The sequence below is a fragment of the Homo sapiens genome, chromosome 4 (assembly GCF_000001405.40).
Source record: "Homo sapiens chromosome 4, GRCh38.p14 Primary Assembly".
NCBI lineage: Eukaryota > Metazoa > Chordata > Mammalia > Primates > Hominidae > Homo > Homo sapiens.
The window spans coordinates 161,739,400-161,762,360 of NC_000004.12; the positions used below are offsets into that span (position 1 = coordinate 161,739,400).

Here is a 22,961-nt window from a genome sequence, read left to right on the forward strand (position 1 = left end):
GATTGTGAGATAACAAATTTCTGTTGTTCAAGCCACCCAATCTGTGATACATTGTTATGGTACAACCCTAGCAAATTAATACAATTTGCTTATATCTCTTTATCAGTAAAATGTTCCACAAATTTAGAACATTTGTAGAACTGCACATTTTCTACACACTGAATCAAATATTTGGACAAAGCTGTCTTATATGGGGATTAGTTGTATACAGCAGAGGGTAAAAACTGGGGACTCCTTGGTGCCCAATGTGACTCTAGGAACACACATGGATGAGAACCCAAAGGCAAAGGTAAACACCTTAGTAAGATGTCCAGTGAAATGTGAAAGGAGGGGAGGAATGGCAGTAGAACAAAATATGTAAAAGTTATCTCTGTTTCGTGCAAGTTTAAAACATGAGTAGCCAGATGAATACACTTGTTTTTAAAACTGGGCATAATTGGACTCCACAGAAGTAAAAAAAAAAATTGTTGAGATAATATCTGGTTTCTTTTGTAGACTATTCTAAAACTTAAAGCATCCTTATATTTAAGTTCAAAAGGTAATTTGAGGATAAATAATCCCAGATAGTAATTAATGTGTTCAAAATAGGATAGTATCTATTTATTTATTTATTTATTTATTTATTTATTTATTTATTGAGACAGAGTTTTGCTCTTGTCGCCCAGGCTGCAGTGCAATGGCACAATCTCAGCTCACTGCAACCTCCGCCTCCCGGGTTCAAGCGATTTTCCTGCCTCAGCCTCCTGAATAGCTGGGATTACAGACTTGTGCCACCATGCCCGGCTAATTTTTATATTATTAGTAGAGACGGGGTTTCACCATGTTGGCCAACCTGGTCTTGAACTCCTGACCTCAAGTTATTCGCCCACCTCGGCCTCCCAAAGTGCTGGGATTACAGGTGTGAGCCACCAGGCCCGGCCTGAAATAGTATAGTATCGCTTTTAGTATTTGATTGACAATATTCTAATTGTTTATGGAGGTTTAAGGAGAATTTTTATATACTATCTAATTTGAGTAGTGTATTTTTATGAGATAAGTATATCTGACCCCATTTCAACCCCCATATTATAAAAGAAAAAAAAAAGCAAGTCCAAACAAAAACATGATTCTTCAAGAACTAAACCCTTCAAAGAAAGAATAGTGAGAAGCATAGTTGAGACAAAAATGCATCTCTTGCTTTGAATTTCCATGTTATTTATGCTATATCACATTATATTGACACATGGTCAAGCTATGTCTGTGCAATAATTTTCATAGATATTGAACACACATTAAGTTTTACACTTATAAATTTGACATATTTTGGAATTCAGTGATTGATTGTTGTTTCATTCATAAAATAGGTATTTGGATCATATTATGTACTCAAATAGTGTATGTCTTAGTCTGTTGGGCTGCGGTAACAACACACCATAAATGAGGAAGCTTATAAACAACAGAAATTTATTTCCCAAAGCTCTGGAGGCTGCAAATTCCAAGATCAAGGTGCTGACATATTCAGCATCTGGTGAGGGCCCACTTCCTGGTTCATAGATGCTCCTTCTCAATGTCTTCTCACATGACAGCAGCAAAGCAGCTCTCTGGGACTTCCTTAAAAAGGGCACTAATCCCATTCATAAGGGTTCTGCCACATGATCTAATCACCTTCCAAAAGACCTGTCTCCTATTGTCATCACACTGATAATCAAGTTTCAACATATGAATCTGGTGGAGACAAACACATTCAGACCATAGCAGTGTGGTAGGAAGAATAATGACCCCCACCAAAATATGTCCACAGAATCTTTGTAAACGGCAGTTACAGGGCAAAGGGGAATTAAATTTACCAGATAGAATTAAGACAGCTAATTAACTGACCTTCAGATGGAGAGATTATTCTGGACTATTTAGGTAGGTCAAATGTAATCCTAAGTGTCCTTACAAGTGAAAGAGGGCAGCAGAAGGAAGAGAACTGGAAAGATAGTGGTTTTAGGAAGACTTGGCACAATGTTACTGGTTTTAAAGGTAGAGGGTTGAGCCAAGTAATTCTGTGGTGGCCTCTAGAAGCTGAACGCAGCCCTGGTACTGACTCCTTGATTTTTTACCTTATTCTGACCTAAAGGCCTCTAAGTTAATAACTTAGTGTTGCTTTAAGCCAAGGTAGAAATTTATTATGGGAGCAACTAAGAGTGAATACAGATTGCATTCCAGATCTAAGGAATCCTCCAACCTAATGAAGAATGAAGCAAAATACACAGGAAATTACAAAAGACTGTGGTAAGTGATGGAGTGGAGAAGTATGATTTTTTTTTTTTTTTTTTTTTTTGGAGGTGGAGTCTCACTCTGTCGCCCAGGCTGGAACGCAGTGGCACGGTCTTGGCTCACTGCAACGTTCGCCTCCCGGTTTCAAGCAATTCTCCTGCCTCAGCCCCCTGAGTAGCTGGGACTACAGGCACACACTGCCACGCCAGGCTAATTTTTTGTATTTTAGTAGAGACGGTTTCACCACGTTGCCCAAGAAGTATGATTTTTTAATAAGTAGGCAAGTCCATTAAACGCAGCCTAGAGACTAGAAAGGACATGAAATAAGAAGGAAGAATGTGTCTTATGGTAAGTGTGAGTTAGTGTTATGACTTAAGGTGAGTAAACTGCTGGTACAAAGATCAAGAAGCAAGAAGGAATGGGGCATTTTTGGATAATACTTTGGTATAGCAAGCCTGTAGTTTGTGAGTAAAAAAAAAGAAAAAACAATGCAAATAAAACAACGGAGGAAATAAACTACTAGTTATTTGAGAGAAAACTTGTTAAGGAGGGTCCATTTGATATCCTGAGGGGAGTGAAGGACCATTAAAATGATTTCAGGTTGAGCTTTGCATTTTAGGAAGGATATTCTTGCTGCCCTGTAAAGGGACTGGATTAAGAGTCAACAACAATGAATGCAGCGGGATCATGTACAAAGCTGCATTATTATCTAGAAATGATGCTGGGCTGAACTATGAAGACTCATATTGAGGACAGAGAGAGGGGACCAGTTTTTAAATTGTTTAGGGGAACGATTCAAGATGTACTTTTCATTCCTCCAGAAATGAAGGCAAGGGAGAGAATTTTTTAAAATATTATTATTGCTGTAGCAACTGGGTATAAATAGGGTAATGTAACGCTCTCAGTTAGAAAAACAGAAATATGAGTAGCCTTTGACATGTGGCAAACAGTGAGTTTAGGTTTGAACAAATGGCAGTGACGCGCCAGAAGAGAATCCATGTGACAGTGTCCAGTGGGCCAAGGATGGGTTGAAGAGACTAGTGGATGAGTATGATAAGATTCACAACTTTTCAACATGAACAATCATGCAGTTGCATCTGCTATCATATTTTAGCAGAAACCTATTTCAAATATCCTAAAATATCCTAATGGTGTTTTTGCAGAAATAGAAAAAATAACAATAAAAGCCGATGGCCATCTTCTTTGGCAGATGACCAAAAAGTACATTCAAAGAATATATTGATGTATCTTTAAATATATAAAATGCAGATATTCGTATATCTTTGAAAAAAAAATCTATCCAACTACCTTGCCAATTTTTATATTAATCTGTTATGTAGATGATTTGCAGTTTCCTACCATTCCTTGGGTGGTCTTTTCACTCTGTTGATAGTGTTCTTTGATGCATGAAAGTTCTAAATTTTGATGAAGTCTAATGTATCTATATTTTATTTTTTTACCTGTGTTTTTGTTGTTATAGCCCATAAAACATTACCAAAGCCAATGTTATGAAGAGTTCCTCCTATGTTTTCTTCTGACTTTTATAGATTCAGCTCTTACTTTTTGGTCATTGATCTATTTTTAAGGGTTTTGTTTTTGGTTTTGGAGGCAAATGGATATTCAGTTTTCCCAGCACTAGTTGTTGAAAAGACTGTTATTTCTCCATTGAATGGTTTTGGGACTCTTGTTGAAAACTGTTAGACAATGTATAGGAAGGTTTAGTTCTAGAATCTCTTTTATCTTCTATTCCATTCCATTGGTCTACATATGTTTTAGTGCCAGTACCATACTGTTTTGATTTTAATGGCTTTGTACTAAGCTTTAAAATAAGAAAGAATGACATCCCCTCCATCTTTGCTTTTCTTTTGTCAAGATTGTTTTGGCTATGTAGGACTCCATGCGATTCCATATGAACTTTAGTTTTTTTTTCTATTTCTGAAAAAACACTATTAGGATATTGATAGGGATTGCATTTAATCTGTAGATTACATTGAATGGTATTGTTATTTTAACAATACTAAGTCTTGCAGATATATTTTAAATCTGCCACATTTGCAGCTTCTTTCTCCATAAAATGCTTACAAATAAAAAATTGGCATAGATCAGAAATGCTTACAAATTTAAAAATAATATGAATATACTTTGGTTATAAAATTATGTATTCACAGATCATTTTAAGCTGAGAGATGAGTATAATAAGCTTCACAAGTTTTCAACAGGAAGAATTATGCAGTTGCATCTGCAATCGTGTTTTAGCTGAAACCTATTTTAAACAAAATGTAGCAGAATTTTTAGATTCAAATATGCTTGCACTCTTCCTTCTAGTAGAATTCAATATGTGAGTTTACTTGCTAGATTGCTGACAAGTTCAGAAACATTTAATCAGTTATGCTCAACCAGTTGCAAATTCTAACACTATTACAAGAACATGAACAACAGAAGGTGTTTTTTTTTAAATCATCCTGTTTTTTTCAAAGATAGATGCTTTGTGCACACTACAAGCAAGAATACTGAACGTATGTATGGTCAGGGATGCATAAGGAATGAGCACATCACTATGACGACTTTTTTGGACAGTAACATTCTCTGAGGCTCCCGTCCAGCTAACTTAAGAAATCTATCTGCACCACAAATGTATGATTATGATATAATTATACATTCAACACTTATACATAGATTTCAGGGCCCAGTGAACTGGTAAAGCCAAAGCTGAGATGAGTTGTACCATCCTCACATTGTTATGATGTTGAATTATATTCTCTATGACTTACTATAAGATGGCTTAGCACCAATAGTGGTATACATCTTTCCCTAATTTTATGTCTATACATTTACGAAGGTGTGGTAAATGAGAAAGGCAAGTCTTACACCTAATTCTACCATATATAAATATTCATATAATACCACCTGGCAGCAGAAGCAGTTTCTGTTGGGGATGTGACAAGGAATTCATCCACTGCTAACTAGCTAAAGTCTCTAATAGTCACTAAAAGGAACTTAATGGCTCTTAATGACCAAATTGGCATAGATCAGTTCTCAACACCCTGAAATCATGTCTCAGCTAAAGTCAGAGGAAAAGCCTGATAAAATTGTTCAGAAACCTTTTTTTTTCGGTTCAAACTAACACTTTTAGAATTATATTATCATGCAAATGTGAAGACAATTTCCTAATTGATATTTTATTTATGTGGTGACAGTTACATAATATAGAACCAAATTTTAATGCTTTCAGGTATTAGTAGTTTTTCAGTAGCTGTCTATGCATTGAAAAATGGTAAAAGGCCATGTAATACAAATTATAAAATTAGTTTTAGGGATAGGAAATCTCAGATCAATTTATTCTGCTTTATCGGATCCAGAAGCAAAAGTGAGTAGTTTCCGGAGGAAAAAAAAAAGAAATACTTTCCTAAAAAGGCAAAATAAATAAATAAAAAAAATAAAACAACAACAAAAAATAAACACAGTGATAATATAGCCTGGCTTTGGGGAAACAATCTTGATTGAAGCTGATAAGTCCCACTATCTCCATAAACTATTAAAAAAGCCCTTAAATATTCTAATATTTCAGCAAGTAGTAACTTGATGAGTTCAGTTTGAAATCAATATTTAAAAATATTCGTACACCTCAAAGGATTAGAAAACACAGATGAAAGAGGCAGTGTGATCTCATATAAAAATCTTTTACTGGCATTGTTTATTTTGTACATCTGTAACTATATACAAAAATGTGCTACTTTCTTAGAAATAAATACCAGAAACACAGTGCTAATACAAAATCTTTTTCTAACATCATATTAGGATAAATTTGTTTAATATGGAGTGATAACAACAGTGCAATATATAGGCAGTGGGGTATATAGCATTTTCACCTGTTGTTTAAACATATTTAAAAGATGTTAAAATATTTAATTACACAGTTTTAGTTGACTGTAAAATGTCTACAAAGAGCAGGAAAAGGACCTACACTTTTGATGGGGCTCCACAAAAATTATATTCTTTCTAAATGAAATGTGTCAAACTATAAGTAAAAAAAAAAAATCACTCATTGTAGCAATAAGATAAATTCCTGATCTCAGAAGTGTTACCATTTTATATATCCTAGCAAATGTGTAATCATAAAAACATGTTGAGCTGTCACCTATGTCATTTTCAGAATGCTAATATAGATAGTTCTTACAAAATATGATTATAATAAAATGAATTATGGTCAATGGAAATATGAGTCGTACATACACCATTAAACATGACTACAGGCTCGAATATTTAGTTTGCTCAACTAACTTTGATATTCTTTTAATCTAAGTTTTTCATCAGTAAAAAACAAATGTTAAATTTTAACTTTAAAACTTTAGACAAGTTCAATTTTTTATCCTTGAGTAGCTCAGAAAGTTTTTAACAAATTCATCAGAAATTATTTTATTTACCAAAATCTATCCCATCACATATATAAATTATTTTTGCTACAATACATTGTTAAATAAAATTTCTGGAGATAGTGTGATTTTTTTTTTTAATTTGAGGTTTGAAGTTGTCACCAATTTATTTAGGTGCACCCTCAAAAGTCACAACAAATTTGTTGACAGGATTATTACTAACTTTGAATTTATTTTGGATTGCACAATATAAATATTCTAAGAATCTTTTCTAGAAATTGTTAGCCTTATCCATCACCAATTTTGTTGGATCTTTTCCCCTAATATTCCTTAAATCCATAACTTCTGATTTACCCAACTCCACTTGTTCAAGCCCTCAAAACTTATCACTTAGAGAATTGCAGCCTGAGTTAGTAGTGCCCTGGTGAATGTTTACAAGCCAGCTCTCTAAGCTGTAGTGGTAATGGGTTGGGGTAAGGGGCTTGACTGTAGCATTTGACAATATCTGTGCTGTAAAGGTTCCCACCATGGGCCAATTTCAGGTTACCAATGTGACATCAACATGATAGCAGAGTTCTTGAAAATGAAATCATTGACCCCAAAATACCACTGATTGCACTATCTACATTTCTTTCTGCTTCTCATCTTATTTCTTAAGGCATTTTGCACTCAGTTTCATAAATGACCTCTCAAATGTAAATTACAATCCCTGTGTCACTTTTGGTGTCTTGCCTATACCTACATGAATTATCCAATTTCTCATTATTATGTTCACTAAGTTTCAAACTCTAACCCCTTCCTCCTAAGCCTCTTTTTTCACTAATTTCTAGTTTGCACTTTTGTCTCCCCCAGTCCCCCAAATGCTTGCAATTTCCCACACTTTTGGCTTTGCTGATGGGCCCCCCATAGCAGAAAAGCACCTGTCCTCTTGGATATTGTCCCCAAGGACTCTTATTCAGCGGCGTATGTAATTCAAAAGTGATCTCTGCTTAGAATTCATCCCTGTGGGTGGTCTTTTTCCATTGCCCCTTGAGATACTATATTGTAATTGCCTTTTACTGTTTAATTTCCTAAATAACAGAAAAGATTTCTCATCCATTTTTGTATTTGTAGTAACTAGCCTTAATAATGTCATGTAATAAGAACATAACAAATGTTGATTGTTGACTATGAAATTAAATGTGACTTGAAATATTAATCTAAATAGGTAAAATTACATAAGTGAATCATTGCACAGCTGATAAATTTTAAGCTACAAAATACTTACATAAAATATACCACATTTATTCTTCTTTGCCTGGCTTTCTTCTCTCTTCAATCTCTCCCCACCTTTCCAACATACTTTGTGTATTTTTTATTTGAAAAGTTTCCTTCTTTTGGAGTAGACAAGTACAATATGCCATATACTAAAATGCCTGATTTACTTGTTTATTCAATAAAGTGTTATTATCATTAATGCTAATTAAGCAACACTGAAAAGAAAGAGGGTAATCTTGCAAAGTTCTCTAGACGGTACCTGCAAATGTGCATATCCTCTCAATGTGATTTGTAATCTGCAACTTCTGTAAAGCTTTAAACATAGATGCTATTTGTTTGTCCCATATGGTGGGGGCAACAACTAGGGTCTGTTTACCTTACTTGAATGATTAGTAACAAGTTTACTGTAGTTTCCTTCCTTGTTATAGCAACAGTTCCCACTAGGAAGGACACATTTTACAATGAGTGCATTGCAGATGATATGCAGCACTCAGGCCCTAACAAAATCCTCACTCAGGCAGCTACACAGCACTTAGTGTACACACTTTGTTTCTATGTTTGTTGATGTTTATTTAACTTCAATCTATTTTTAATTGTTACCTAAGGATATAGCAAATATATATTGGAAATTTAACATAAATTTACTTTTTATCATTAAAAAATTATTTCCAAATTTACTAAGGATGATAACAATGGTAGATGGTGCTAACACTATATGGATAGAGGTAGATTATAAATTTAAAAAGAATGTATAATATAATATCCTTAAGAAATTCAACTTTGTTATTTAACAAAATCGAATAAAACAATCAAAACATTGATGAGTACTAATGAGTGGTATCAGGCATACATGCAATAAATAGCTAATAATCATCAAACTAATTACTTGTATAAAAGTATAAAGATGGATGTGCATTAACAAATTATTCTGCTCCTTGTAAAAATGTTAAAAACAGATTTGTTACTGTTTTTGAAATGCCTATAAAAGAAATTGCCACAAAAAGTATCATGCACTGAATTACTATGACATGTTAAAGTATTTTGCACATACCTTTTTAAACATAAATATGTACATATGTACATATATTTATTTTTACTGTGATGATCCTGAAAAAGTTTTTTTAGCATTTTTCAAACCTTTAAATAATTATTACATTCCATGTATCATAGTAATTTCCCTAGAGTTCTCAGAGGTAACAATATTCTAGAGCTATTTGTAAAACTTCAAAACGTGGAAGGTAAAACATTAATCCATGTGGTATATAAGGTTGTACAAGCTCCCTAAAGCTGTTTCACTGTTAATTGCTGGACTGAAATAATGCAAAGGGGAAGCACGTTTTTTTTTTTTTTTTTTTTTTCTCAGACTGAACAGTATCTCACATGAAAAGACTTACACGATTGGCGAATTTCTTTTAAGGAAAGGAAAGACATGAGTCATTAGTTACTAAAATAAGATTATTTTAAAAATTAGAAAAGCTATTTTTAAGGTACTAACTATGGACAGAAGATGTATGATTAAATGACCATCAATAAGGGCATTTGAAAAACACTTATGTATGGTGGCATTAAATACATTTTATTGAACTCGACAAAGGACATGAAAAATGTTTCTCAAAAGAAGACATACAAGTGGCAAAAAAAAATACATGAAAAAATGTTTAACATCACTAAGCATCGGATAAATGCAAATTAAAACCACAATAAAATACCATCTTACACCAGTCAGAATGGCTATTACTAAAAAGTCAAAAAACAAGATGTTGGCATGGATGCAGAGGAAAGGGAACACTTATACAGTGTTGGTGGGGATGTAAATTAGTTCAACCACTATGGAAAGCAGTATGGAGATACTTCAAAGAACTAAAAGTAGAACTACCATTTGACCCATCAACCCCACTACTGGGTATCTATCTACCCAAAAGAAAGGAAATCATTATATTGAAAAGACACCTGCATTCCTATGTTTATTGCAGCACTATTCACAATAGCAAAGTCATGGAGTCAACCTGAATGTCCTCCAATGGTTGACTGGATTTAAAAAAATGTGGTACATATATACCGTGAAATACTATGCAGTATTTCATAAAAATGAATGAAATCAAGTCCTCTGCAGCAACATGGATGAAGTTGGATGCCATTATCATAAGCAAACTAACACAGAAGCAGAAAATCATGTATCACATGTTCTCATTTATAAGTGAGAGCTAAACAATGGATACACATGGACATAAAGAGAAAGATAATAGGCCCGGCGCGGTGGCTCACGCCTGTAATCCCAGCACTTCGGGAGGCTGAGGCGGGCGGATCCCGAGGTCAGGAGATCAAGACCATCCTAGCTAACACGGTGAAACCCCATCTCTACTAAAAATACAATAGCCGGGCATGGTGGCAGGGGCCTGTAGTCCCAGCTACTCGGGAGGCTGAGGCAGGAGAATGGCGTGAACCCGACAGGCGGAGCTTGCAGTGAGCCAAGATTGTGCCACTGCACTCCAGCCTGGGCGACAGAGCGAGACTCCGTCAAAAAAAAAATAAAAATAAAAATAAATAAATAAATAATAATAAAAATAATAGGCTCTGGGGACTCCAAAAAAGGGAGGGTGTGAGGGGAGTGAGAGTTGAAAAATTACTTATTTGGTAAAATCTTCCCTTTGGGTAACGGGTACATTAGAAGCCCAGTCCCCACCATTACAGCATATATCCATGTGACAAACACATCTCTGAATCCAAAAAATACAATACGATAAATACATTTGATGTAACTCTTTCTAAAGTAAATATTCTATTTATGTTGAGAATATATACGAGTATGTTTGTCCCTTAGATGAAATCACATTCATTTTAGTATATGTTTTTTTGAATTTCTGAAAAGTAAATATTAATACAAAGTTCACACCATGTGATTTATGTACAAATGGAATTTGCACTTAAATTCATATTTAAAATACTTGGAATAAAATTTTAGATAGAGAAGTCATTATAATTTGACACTCTAATGTTACACTGTCCAAGAGGGTAGCCAGTAATTAACTACATGTGGCTATTGAACATTTGGCTTATCCAATTGAGATATGCTGTACTGTAATAATGTAAAATATACACCAGGTTTCAAAGACTTGGTAAGAAAAAAGAATGAATAATATACACTTAATGCTCATATTGGTATGATAATAATATTTTGGACGTGTTTAAGTAAATAAAATGTTATTAAAATCAATTTTGCCTGATTTTTCTTTTTTTAACGTGACTGCTAGAAAATTTCAAAATATTAGGATGGCCAGCATTTTTTGTTTATATTATGTTTCATTAGACAGTGCTTCTCTAAGTATAAAAGTGATAGTTTGGGCATGATAATACATAGAGTGTTACCTTCATAATTTTAAAAATTATGATTTTCAAACAATGGCAGCCATTAAAAGATGATATTCATTTGCATTTTAAAAAATTTCTGTATGGTCTCACTTATATGTGGAATCTAAAAAGGTCTGAAAAACATAATCCTTAGGCAAATCCTACCTAAGATTACTATACTGTAATCAGTGGAAAGAAATTTTAGGTTAGATGCACTAAGCTATGACTGACAATATATGGTACAGTGTGGAAAATAAGAATGATTGGTCAATTCTCATTTTATTGCACTGCAATTACACTTAGAGTCAGAAAAGACCTTACTCTATTAATATTTGTATGACAAAAAAAGCAAATACTTAAAAAATAAATATGATAAATGTTTCACTTGAACTGTCTAATTGTGTCTGCTTTTAGGATTATAAATCATTATGTTAGCAAGCAAAATGTACCAGTTAGAGATCAGAGTGTGAAGAATGCCAGATACTATAGGTGAAAAAAAGAACCCTAAAGGCACAATAGTGGTATCCCATTAAGGTAATCTTACAAATGGGACATTAAAGGACAAAATGAAGGACGGAGTTATTTTACCATGGGAAAAACCTAAGACTTAAAAAAAAATACAGTTGAAATTGGTATTGCTTCTCTTTCTCTCTTTCCATTACACTTGGTGTATAAAAATAATTTACTATGTTTAGGAGCAAAAAACTGTCCTTTTTGAATACATGTTTATAGGCTGGGTCTCAGCAATCATTTTGGAAAATCCTTTCCCTAAGAACCCGTATAGCAACAGCAACACAGACTAGAAAGCAAGGAAATGGTGCTGAGTGGTATTTCCCAAAATAGCCAGGGGATAGCTATGAACTCTAACATAAAATGTTTTATAATCAGCCCTGGCACAGGGACTCACACTTGTAATCCCAGCACTTTGGGAGGCTCACTTGAAGGTAAGAGTTTGAGACCAGGCTGGGCAACATAGCAAAGTCCCATCTCTACTAAAAAAATAAATAAATAAATTAGCCAAATGAGGTGGCACACTCTTGTAGCCTTAACTACTTCGGAGGGTGAAATGGGAGGATTGCTTGAGCCCAGGAGCTCAAGGCTGCAGTGAGCTATGATAGTGTCACTGCACTCCAGCCTGGGTGACAGAGGGAGAACTTGTCTCAAAAAAAAAGAAAAAAAAAGGATGATCATACAAACTAAAATGCACATTATTAATTTTGTAATGCTAGCATGTAATAGAGGAATTATTCTCCAAATATGTCAGGTGATTAAGTTGCTGCAAGGTTTCATATTATAATGATCTGTATATATGGGATTATTTTATAGTAGCTATAACATTATATAACACAATGATTCCCAAATCAAGGTAAGCTTAGAATTATCAATGCCTTTGTGTTTGAATGCAAGGTTTAGTCTTTCAGAGATAATTCATGAGCTCTAGGCCAGAGGTGAATTCAGTTGCTCTGGTAAACTTTGTTGTTTTATTTTTTAAATAGCAGAGATACAAAATAGTGACACATTATGATGTATAAATCAGTACACTTGAACAAAGTAAGGATGCCTGTGAAACCACTATAGATGTTAAATATAGACAGATGATAGATGGACAGATAGATAGATAGATAGATAGATAGATAGATAGATAGATAGATAGATGGAATGTTTCCAGCACCATAGATGACCTGATGTTTCCATCCCATTCCTTTTCCTTTCTCGCAAAGGCTACCATCATATTAATTCTAAAATCATAGAGGAGTTTTAGCTGTTTTGTATTTTATCTAAATATATTCATACTTGATGGATGCTTATATGTTCTGCTTCTTTATCCAGCATTATTATTTTTCAGTTTTCTTACATCCAACCTCTCAATCATCAGCACTTTTGCTTCTGCCCTTACATCTATATTGAAAGTCTCATGACCAGAGTTACTAGTAAGTTCCTTTCTGCCAAATCTAGTGGCCAAGAAGACTTCACTTTTTTTTCCCTTGGATTCAGCTTTGAAAAATGTTCATCAATTCTTCCTTAGTAAAATGTCATGGTGGTGCCCTGCTTTGGACACCACCTGTTAAAATGCATTTCAGTTTTAATTCTGGTATGGACTGAATTGTGTCTCCTCCAACTTCATATGTTAATGCCCTAACCCTCAATGTGACTATATTTGGAGATAGGGCCTAAAATAACGTTAAGGTTTAATGAGGTCTTTAGGGTGGGTCCTAATCTGATAGGTTTTTTGTCCTTATGAGACACCAGACAGCGTTCTCTCTCTTTGGTGACAATGCAGCAAGAAGGCGGGCATTAGTTTATAAGCCAGGAAGACAGCCCTCACCAGACACTGCATTGGCTGGTACCTTGATGCTAGACTTCCCCATCTCAAGAACTATGAGAAATAAATTTCCATTGTTGAAGCCACCTGTCTAACATATTTTGTTATGATATCCACTAAGACGGTTCTGAAGTCCTCCACTTTTGCTCATTCTTTCTCTCTTTACTTGCTCATCTTGAATGACCCAACCTTCTGACAGATCTTCAGTTTCTACCTACATATTCCCTATCTTTATTTCTGGCTGAGGTCACCTACTTGAACCACAATATTCTCCAAACAGAAGTTTGTGTATTTTTTAAAAATATACCAACATTTCCAAAATTTAACTCAATGTCTTTCCCTAAATTTGCATCTCTTCCCGTGACCCCTGCTTTAATAAACAGAAACACCATTCACCTTAGTAGGCAAGCTAGAAATTTGGGCATTATCCTTGACTCAAGTCCTCTCCCTGTCATGTATATGTAATCACTCACCAATTCAAGTTAATTCTGTTCATAAGTTATTTCTCAGATATGGCCACATTCCTGCATTTTTACTGTTGCTTCTTTGGTTCTGGCCCCGTCATCACTTTTAGCCTATATTAGTGCAACATTCTTAATTTTGTTCACTAAACTCTGCTATTTTTCTCAAACAAAGGTTTTTATATACTAATGATCTAATATCTATGAATGCTAATGTAATATTCATTTTTATTGTTCTAATTATTAGAAGCTTTCGATAAGTAATATTTTAGTGTAGCAGTTCTGCTTTCCCTGGAGAATGAGTTCTATTTTCCTCATAATGTCATTAACAAATCTATATTGCATTAAGAACTGTTTCGGCCAGGCGCGGTGGCTCACGCCTGCAATCCCAGCACTTTGGGAGGCCGAGGCGGGTGGATTATGAGGTCGGGAGATCGAGACCGTCCTGGCTATCACGGTGAAACCCCCTCTCTACTAAAAATGCAAAAAATTAGCCGGGCGTGGTGGCTGGCGCCTGTAGTCCCAGCTACTCCGGAGGCTGAGGCAGGAGAATGGTGTGAACCCGGGAGGCGGAGCTTGCAGTGAGCCGAGATCGCGCCACTGCACTCCAGCCTGGGCGACAGAGCAAGACACCGTCTCAATTAAAAAAAAAAAAAAAAAAAAGAACTGTTTCATATAGAGTGATGACATTTTCAATATAAAAGTTAATAATTAGGTGATTTAAATTTTTTTTAATATTTTAGAATTTTAGAATCATAGTTACCTCTTTTAAAGAACAATAGAGCTATTACACAATTAGTGTTAATATGATGTTCACAGTTGATGTGTTTTACTGACAAAAACTTAATTATTTTTATGCCTGCTAGAAACGTACCTTCTTTTGGATATTTGTACATATAAAGATCATGTTGAATTAATAGAAATTTTTAAAAGTGTGACATTAGAAGTTGAACACACAAAAATACATACACATCTTAAAGTACATATATATGTATATGGTTTTGGGAGCTACAACTTAGAACAGTTTAGTAACACTTCAAAAATCTATCACATTTACCAGAACGTCTCATACAGTTTTAAAAGTTCATAATCCTCATAAAATTTCACACAATTTTAAGGTTTAGTACTACAGTCAAAGTAATTTATTATTTAACTCAGGAAATGAAGTACATAGGAAGCAGTTTCAGAACAAAAATTCTATCTCTGGGTAGTCATTTATACCATTCTTGGTTATCTAGAAACTCTAAATGAAGTAACTCATTTCTAAAATCAATAAGCATATAACATCACTTCATCATTTCAATTGAGTTTCATAACCTAAGCAAATAAAGACATTTATTTGAGCATCACTTCTGAAGTTAAATGCCTCAATTAGTGTATGGTTATCTTGTCTGATGGCAAATCGCTTATATTTACTGACAGATTTAAATCAGAAGTATAGTATTCCATGCAAATCATACTTAATGTTATAATTTGATTAAATTTGAATTGGAAGACAATGAAATATTTAGCACTTGGTATAGAATAATAGCACTATTAACTCATTTTTAATTCTACGAGAAACTTTTGTCCTGGAAAATGAACACACTTTACTGAATATACTCATGACAACAAAATCCAGGGTGAAGGATGTACACTACCTTACCAGAGAATTTGGTATTTCCTCTCTATATTCAAAAGTATGTCACTAAACTTATTATTTATTGGATCCTATTAAATAGCTTTCCAAGTCTGTTAATCAGACAAGGCATGATATGAAATACTTGAAGCACACAATAAGGATTTATTTTAAATATGTTAGTAAAAATCAAATTATTAACAATACTAAAAATTATGAAGAAAAATTAAATAATTGACCATTCAATACCTATGATAAAATATTAAAATAACTTATCTAATCCACAAAGAAAAAAGGTATTTTTGAAAAACACATTATGTCTACTGGAATAACACTGCAATAATATAAAAACACTTGATAATATGCTATTTTTTTTACCATTAACTTTTTCCTGTTTGCGGATTACCCTTTACTATCTTCCATTTTATACCATGGCAGAGAGAAAGAACCTGGAACTCAGGAAGTCTGTTTACCTTTGTATCGACCAGAAAACAATTAATGAATCATGATAGATTTCTAACTTCTTCTGCCTTAGTTTATCCCTCTGGATATTCACTTAAGGCTTTTCTAGCTTTCTGAGCTTCTTTTTATAAAGTATGTGGAGGAAGGCATCCTGGATGTGGAAAAATGGTTCCTTTTTAGTCTTAATACATCTGTCATTTTGATCACTGTCTGTCTGAGATTATATATTCCTAGGGGAAAGGAAACCTATCTTTGTAAGTAGCTTTGACTATCACAACACCCTATACACAAAGGTACATAATACATGATTTTTGAATAGATTTCTTTTCCCATTAGTGTTATACATTTTTTATTCATGATACCTTAGTATTTTACAATTTTCTAAAATCATGTCATTATACAAAGCCTGTCACTAAACTTCACAAAACCCAAGTGGATTTAATTATCAGGTAATTTTATGGAGAGAGATAAAGAAATCGATAAGTATTTATAATTCTCATTAAAGTATAAATATCTTCTCACTAATGCAGATACAATCCACACAGGTCAGTTCTGTATCTCTGAGGGATCATTATATAGCTTGACGCCTAGTTTAAATAAGGGTGAAGCACTGAAAATGTAATACCTTACAAGAAGTTTGCTTGGTGACACCAAAAAGAATATGGAAATATTTCCCGTAATTGCAGCATTACTTAGAAAAAACATTATTTCCACTAAATGATGTTGTGAACAACATTTTATCATTGTTATAGGATAGTTTTGATTATCTAAAAAGAAAAAATTATCTCATGATTGCTGATTGCCAAGCAATTTCATTACCCAACTAACGTCTCTTTATGACTATTAAAAATGTAGACCCTTTGTATTATACATAAATTTGACCTAATGGCAGAATCATTACTATATTCACTAAATTCATTGTATTTACTACAAACAATTTCCATAAAATTTTTTAACATACTACTTTCTAATAGTTAATGAAACCCATATATATTTCCTTCTATCCAAATTCAATATTCCCTAGTACTTTTATGTGTAATCTGTTTTACTATATCTTTATTAAAACTTTTTATTGATTATTTAGATTTCTGACTTGTAAAATGTTATTTATAAGGACGATGCACTGATGTACCTTGTTTTCTTTAGCAACATCAAATTACATCCCAAAACGCAGTACTATTTTTCCCCTTGACAGGTGCAAGCAGTAGTATTTTAGGCAAAATTATTTTTACTGATAGGGCCAGGGATTGCTTTTCAGTGTCTTTGCTGGCTATCATAAAAATAACAGATTACTCATTCACATATTTCTATTGTTTCTCTTCCACTGTTGCACCACCAACAATAACTGTATTTTGAATAAATATCTTACACAAACATATCCATTTAATACTCTTGTTGATGCTGGGTAAACTATATACGATTGAAATTATTTCCAAGCATGGCTGTAGAAGTTGCCTACTTCTGTTAGTCAAGTCTATGTATCTTTCTATTGAGAGATGGAGGTAGTGGTTAGGAGATTAGACTGCTTATTTATTAAAACTATTTAGTAAAATGCCCAAAATAATTTCTACATTTTCATAAAATTTCAGGTTGCAACAGATAATGCAGTTGGGCCAGGTTTTTCTAAATGCCCTAATATGTCAAGTATCTGACTTTTTATTTATGTTATTCTTTCTATCTACTACCCTTTGCTCATCTCCAAAAGTTTAAATTCACTTGTCCTTAAGATTAATTTAGTTATTTAATTTCCACCACCTTCATAAGGTATCCCTGATTTCCAAAACTAAATATCGTATTTTCAACTTACTTAATATTTTGTAGGCTTTGTAAATAACACCTATTTCCTTCTATCTTATATGATAGTATCATTCATACCGACATATGCACACACACACACACACACACATTATTATATGTAAACATAAGTTTTTCCCTGACAAACCACATTTTCTCCCTGTTACCTTGCCACCATGAGTACACAAAAGAATGCCCACTACAGCAGGAAGCATAGGGAAAAACACATAGACTTCATAATTAGGTCAACATGAGTTTGATTAGAAACTCAGCCACCTATTTGTTAATTTCTGTGTATTTCACCTCCTTCATATAAAGTAGAATAATAATGCTGTGTTCTTTTTATTTTTTTATTTTTTGGAGACAGAGTCTCACTCTGTTGTTTAGGCTGGAGTGCAATTGCGTGATCTTGGCTCACTTCAACCTTTGCCTCCTGGGTTCAACCGATTCTCCTGCCTCAGCGTCCCGAGTAGCTGGGATTACAGGCGCCTGCCACCAAGCCCGACTAATTTTTGTATTTTTAGTAGAGATGGGGTTTCTCCATGTTGTCCAGGCTGGTCTCAAACTCCTGACCTTAGGTGATCCGCCCACCTCAGCCTCCCAAAGTGCTGGGATTACAGGCATGAGCCACTGCGCCCTGCCAATGCTGCTTTCATTTTATCATTTTTGAAAAGTAGCTAATCTAACAACACCCTTCTAAAGAACTAACAGTTTACCGGATCATCCTGTGTTGCATTCTGCCTAGTAACTTAAAGTGAAAATACAACTTAACCATATCCAAAGAGCGTATTTTTATCGTGATTTAAAAATTTATAAGCTACAACTTTTTTCATATATTATTTTGCTTAAATTATCACATAAAATATAATACAGTGTTTTAATAAAAATTATCATGCAGTAAGAAAATTATCTTTATTTACATGAATTTTTAAGAAGAAAAATACATTTAAATAACTTCTCCAACATCAGACAGCTGATAAATGGCTAAAAGTCAGGGGCATAATTCAAAAAAGACCTTTTTACACAAGTACGTATTCTACTTCCTATCTTTTCTGAAAAAAAAATGGAAATTTTGGTTTCAAGTTCTGAATTAAACTGAGTCCTGTTTAATTTTCCTTCTTTGGTGATTTTCTAATACCAACTAATAAATTTACTTTGTCTTTCTTTCTTTTTACACGTAGCTCCTAAATCCTTGTTTTTTGTTTATTGTTTCTTAGTCCTTTCTCTTTCAATTATTTTACTATTATTATTAATATTATTGCCATGGAGTCTTGCTCTGTCACCCAGGCTGGACTGCAATGGCGCCATCTTGGCTCACTGCAACCTCCGCCCCCGGGTTCAAGTGATTCTCCGGCCTCAGCCTCCTGAGTAGCTGGGATTACAGGCGCGCAGCACCACACCCAGCTAATTTTTGTATGTTTAGTAGAGACGAGGTTTCACCATGTTAGCCAGGCTGGTCTTGAACTCCTGACCTCAGGTGATCCACCCACCTCAGCCTCCCAAAGTGCCGGGATTACAGGCATAAGGCACCCATTAGCGGCCTCTTTGAATTATTTTTAAAGAATAACCTGATAAGTAATTTTGGTTAATCAAGTCATCTTTATGACTGTTCTAAAAAATACATTTAGTCACTCTGAAGACACACTTCGGCAATTCAAACATGTATCAATTTTTCCAAAATACCTTAATAAAAATATAACTCTTGATTCTAATGCCAATCATTGCCCTTCAAATACACTCAAACTACATCTGTTAATCCATTTTGGTTTCCCAATGAAGTTAAAATATTTGAGTGTGTAAATAATTGTTTTTGATACATGGTGACAACTAGTCAAAAGCTCCTCCTGCTCTAAAATAACCTTGAAAGCAGCATTGAGGAACTAATGTCTTAAACTATAATCAATGAGAATTGATGATATTCGTGGTTATCAAATATTTCTAACTGTTCATTTCAGAACTACTGAATCCCTTAGCTTTTTCATATGTTTCAATACAACTTGAAACTTAAATTCACTAAATTATATAATTTTTCTTAAGAAACAGCTTGTACTATGAGAGCAAGCAAATAGACCATATTGTGTAAAGCAACAGGAAAAAGAACAAAGGGAAATTGGAGAATGAATCTTGTACTCACGGAATGCTCTATAAAATTCTTCAAGAGCCAGGTGCTTGTCAGCATTAAAATCATCATATTTCAATAGAACATACAAAGTACAATCAAAGAGATCCTTGCCAAGTTCTTCCTGTTTTATCACCTAACAAGAAAATTATAAACCATACCTTTAGATTTGTGTCTTAAAATTTCTATAATATAATTTATTATATGTAATAATCACATAATAGTTCATTTCATGTCTGCAGCAGGGCAAAAAACTCAATTTTGGAAAAATCCAGGTTTTTAGTTACTGAACAATCATTTTTAACCTTTTCAAAGATATAAAGTTATGATGTTAAGATAGGTAATTACAATTTCGTTCAAACGTTCTAATATAAAAGTTTCACAGTGGAACTCAACAAATCTGAACATTTAAAGAACATTTTGTATTTCATGCATTTTCTTTGCTCCATTTATACTGACTCAAGGAAATACTTCTGCATGAAAATTGCCTCCTGTGTCTCGGTGACCTATGTCAAAATAAAACAGTGGTCTTTCCCAACAAAAATAGTGAGACAGTTTGTCCCAACTTTCTTCCTCATATGATTTGTAAAATAATGAAGTTAGGTTATTTTTTCTCCTCTGCCTGAACTCCTCCCCAGCTGGAATTTAAGTCATTTGGGATTGTGCATGAATTCCCTTGGTCACAAAAGAGCTATTAAGCAAATGACTGTTTCCAGGAGCTAGATAGAATTAATGCACCGATTGATGATGAAAATCTATCCAGGCGTGAGTGAAGAAAATCATCAAACTTCTATTCTAGTCTGTGCTCTAGTCTATGGACTGCGGCTGCAGCTTTTTGGTATTCTACTGATTTTGACTATTTATTGTCATATAACAGAGCTTACCAAGATTTTTCAGACATTTCTATTGTGGTAGCTGCATAGCTGTGACCATGGTTTTTCATACTCTCTCACATACAAAGGCAGGGATTTATACTGCTTGAAGCTGTGCATCACAGTGGTTGGTTGGTTGGTTTGTTTGTTTTAAAAGTGGTGCGGTATAATCAGAAAACAAAGACTTCAAAATCAGGTGGCTCTGGGTTCGGGACCTGCCAATGCCATTTAATACCTCAATAATTTCTGGCAAATCATTTACACTTTCCTCAATTAGAAAATGAATGTGAAGATTTACACACACACACATGCACACACAGAGTCAGGTGTAAGACATAACATACAGCATACACTCAAAAGTGATCATTTAACATTAAAAATAGTAATTTTTACATAATGCATTGCTTCTTTAAATAATTCACTGCAGACTTCCAGACATCAGCTCGTGCATGTTATGGTTGCACATTCACAATGAATTATCATTTCTTTTGGTGGAGCAGAATGTCTTGGACTTTCTTTAGTACAGCAAAGGCAGATTGGTGATGCTACTTTCTAAAGATCCTCAGATGCTTTTGAGCTATTTTTTCACCTTTTTTGGAACACTCCTGTGTTGAACGTTTCATGATGTCTGAGTGTAGATAGACTGAGGAGATAACTCTGAAAATGGAGCTAAGCATCTGGGTCACTGGAGCCTCCAGCACCCTCTCTAGTCAGCTAAGCAGTGATATGTAATGTTAGCACATGCAGTGCTAAATAGAACTTTTGCAACTCAGTGAGTTCTTTATTTTTGTGTATGTATCAGTGTTAAAATTATATTGGTTAAGCTGATTATTTGTTACCTTGAGGAAGAAAAAAGGCAAAATCTTATCTGGTTTAACTGACCCATATAAATAGAAATTGTAGATGGCAAGCCCTAAACTTTTGCACAGTCCAGCTGGATGGATTAACAAAACTACCTAACGCTGAAGCCATCTCTTCTATAAGCCTAATAAAAATACATATATTACAATTTTTCTATTTAGAAAGCAACAGAGCTCTCAGTCATTCTCCATTTGCTATTGGTTAGATCATAGAAAATGACTTTTGACTTTTCCTGGGGGCTGGGAGAAGGGGCAGTGTGCGCGATTCTACCGCCCTATGCACTAAATATGTACAATGTTAGCATTGTGGTAATATTTAGGATGCAGTGATACCAGGCTTTATTCAGACATTTTAATGACTTTTAGTCTCTCATTTATTTGTAAATAGAGATGAGCACAAAGATGGGGAAAAGCTTTTGTCATTTTCTGTCTCATGTTTATTTCTGTTTTAATACTTTACAAACTTAATGTATTAGACCAAGATATTGGACTTCCCACTTTATACTTATCACTGGCTCTTGCATAAGACTAGTTTGATCTTGATTTGATCTTGGCCTTCACTTGGTCATGATGATACAACTTAAGCTGGGCAGGCCATTTTAATGCATGTGACCTTGAGAAGCCAGTCCTGGCTAATAAACTTCTTATTTTTTAAGCCCTTATCATCTATACTGAAGCATATCCATGCATAGGACAAAGTAGATTCATTTTCTTATTCTAAATATTTCAAATATTTGCTCTTTTATCTCATTTAAGTGGGTCAATGAAATACCCCACTTAAAACATGATTCTTAGTAATTATTTCTCTCCTTCATGTGTCCTGAGGGGAAGCTTTGTCACATTCTGGTGTTTACTAATGAGGGAGGTACTTTCCTATGACTTTTCTTCTTTTCTGTTTTTTCACATCTTTATTGAGGTATGATTGATATAAAAATGGCACATATTTAATGTAGAATGTTTTATGTGTTTACAGGACATTTCAATCAGCATTGAAAAATTGGTTTAGGTACCCAGAATTTTTGTTTGTTTGTTTTTGTTTTTGTTTGTTTGTTTGTTTTGAGACGGAGTCTTGCTCTGTCGCCCAGGCTAGAGTGCAGTGGCGCATCTCGGCTCACTGCAACGTCTGCCTCCCAGATACCAGAATTTTTATAGCTTTACAGTCATGAGTATTTGATGGTCAAAAAGAAAGTATGAAAAACTACACAAGTAGACTTCCTTCCTCAGTCCACAGTA

The 22,961-nt window shown here is 34.2% G+C and overlaps 1 protein-coding gene across 4 annotated transcripts in view; it reads right to left on the reverse strand.

Annotated features, from left to right (window-relative positions):
• Window positions 1-22,961, reverse strand: part of FSTL5 (follistatin like 5) — a 780,104-nt gene that overhangs the window by 355,503 nt on the left and 401,640 nt on the right. For all 4 annotated transcript variants that reach the window (NM_001128428.3, NM_001128427.3, XM_011532126.1 and 1 more), the window contains exon 6: window positions 20,012-20,132. In NM_001128428.3, coding sequence (NP_001121900.1) covers window positions 20,012-20,132 — 121 coding nt within the window. The remainder of the gene's footprint in view (window positions 1-20,011; window positions 20,133-22,961) is intronic.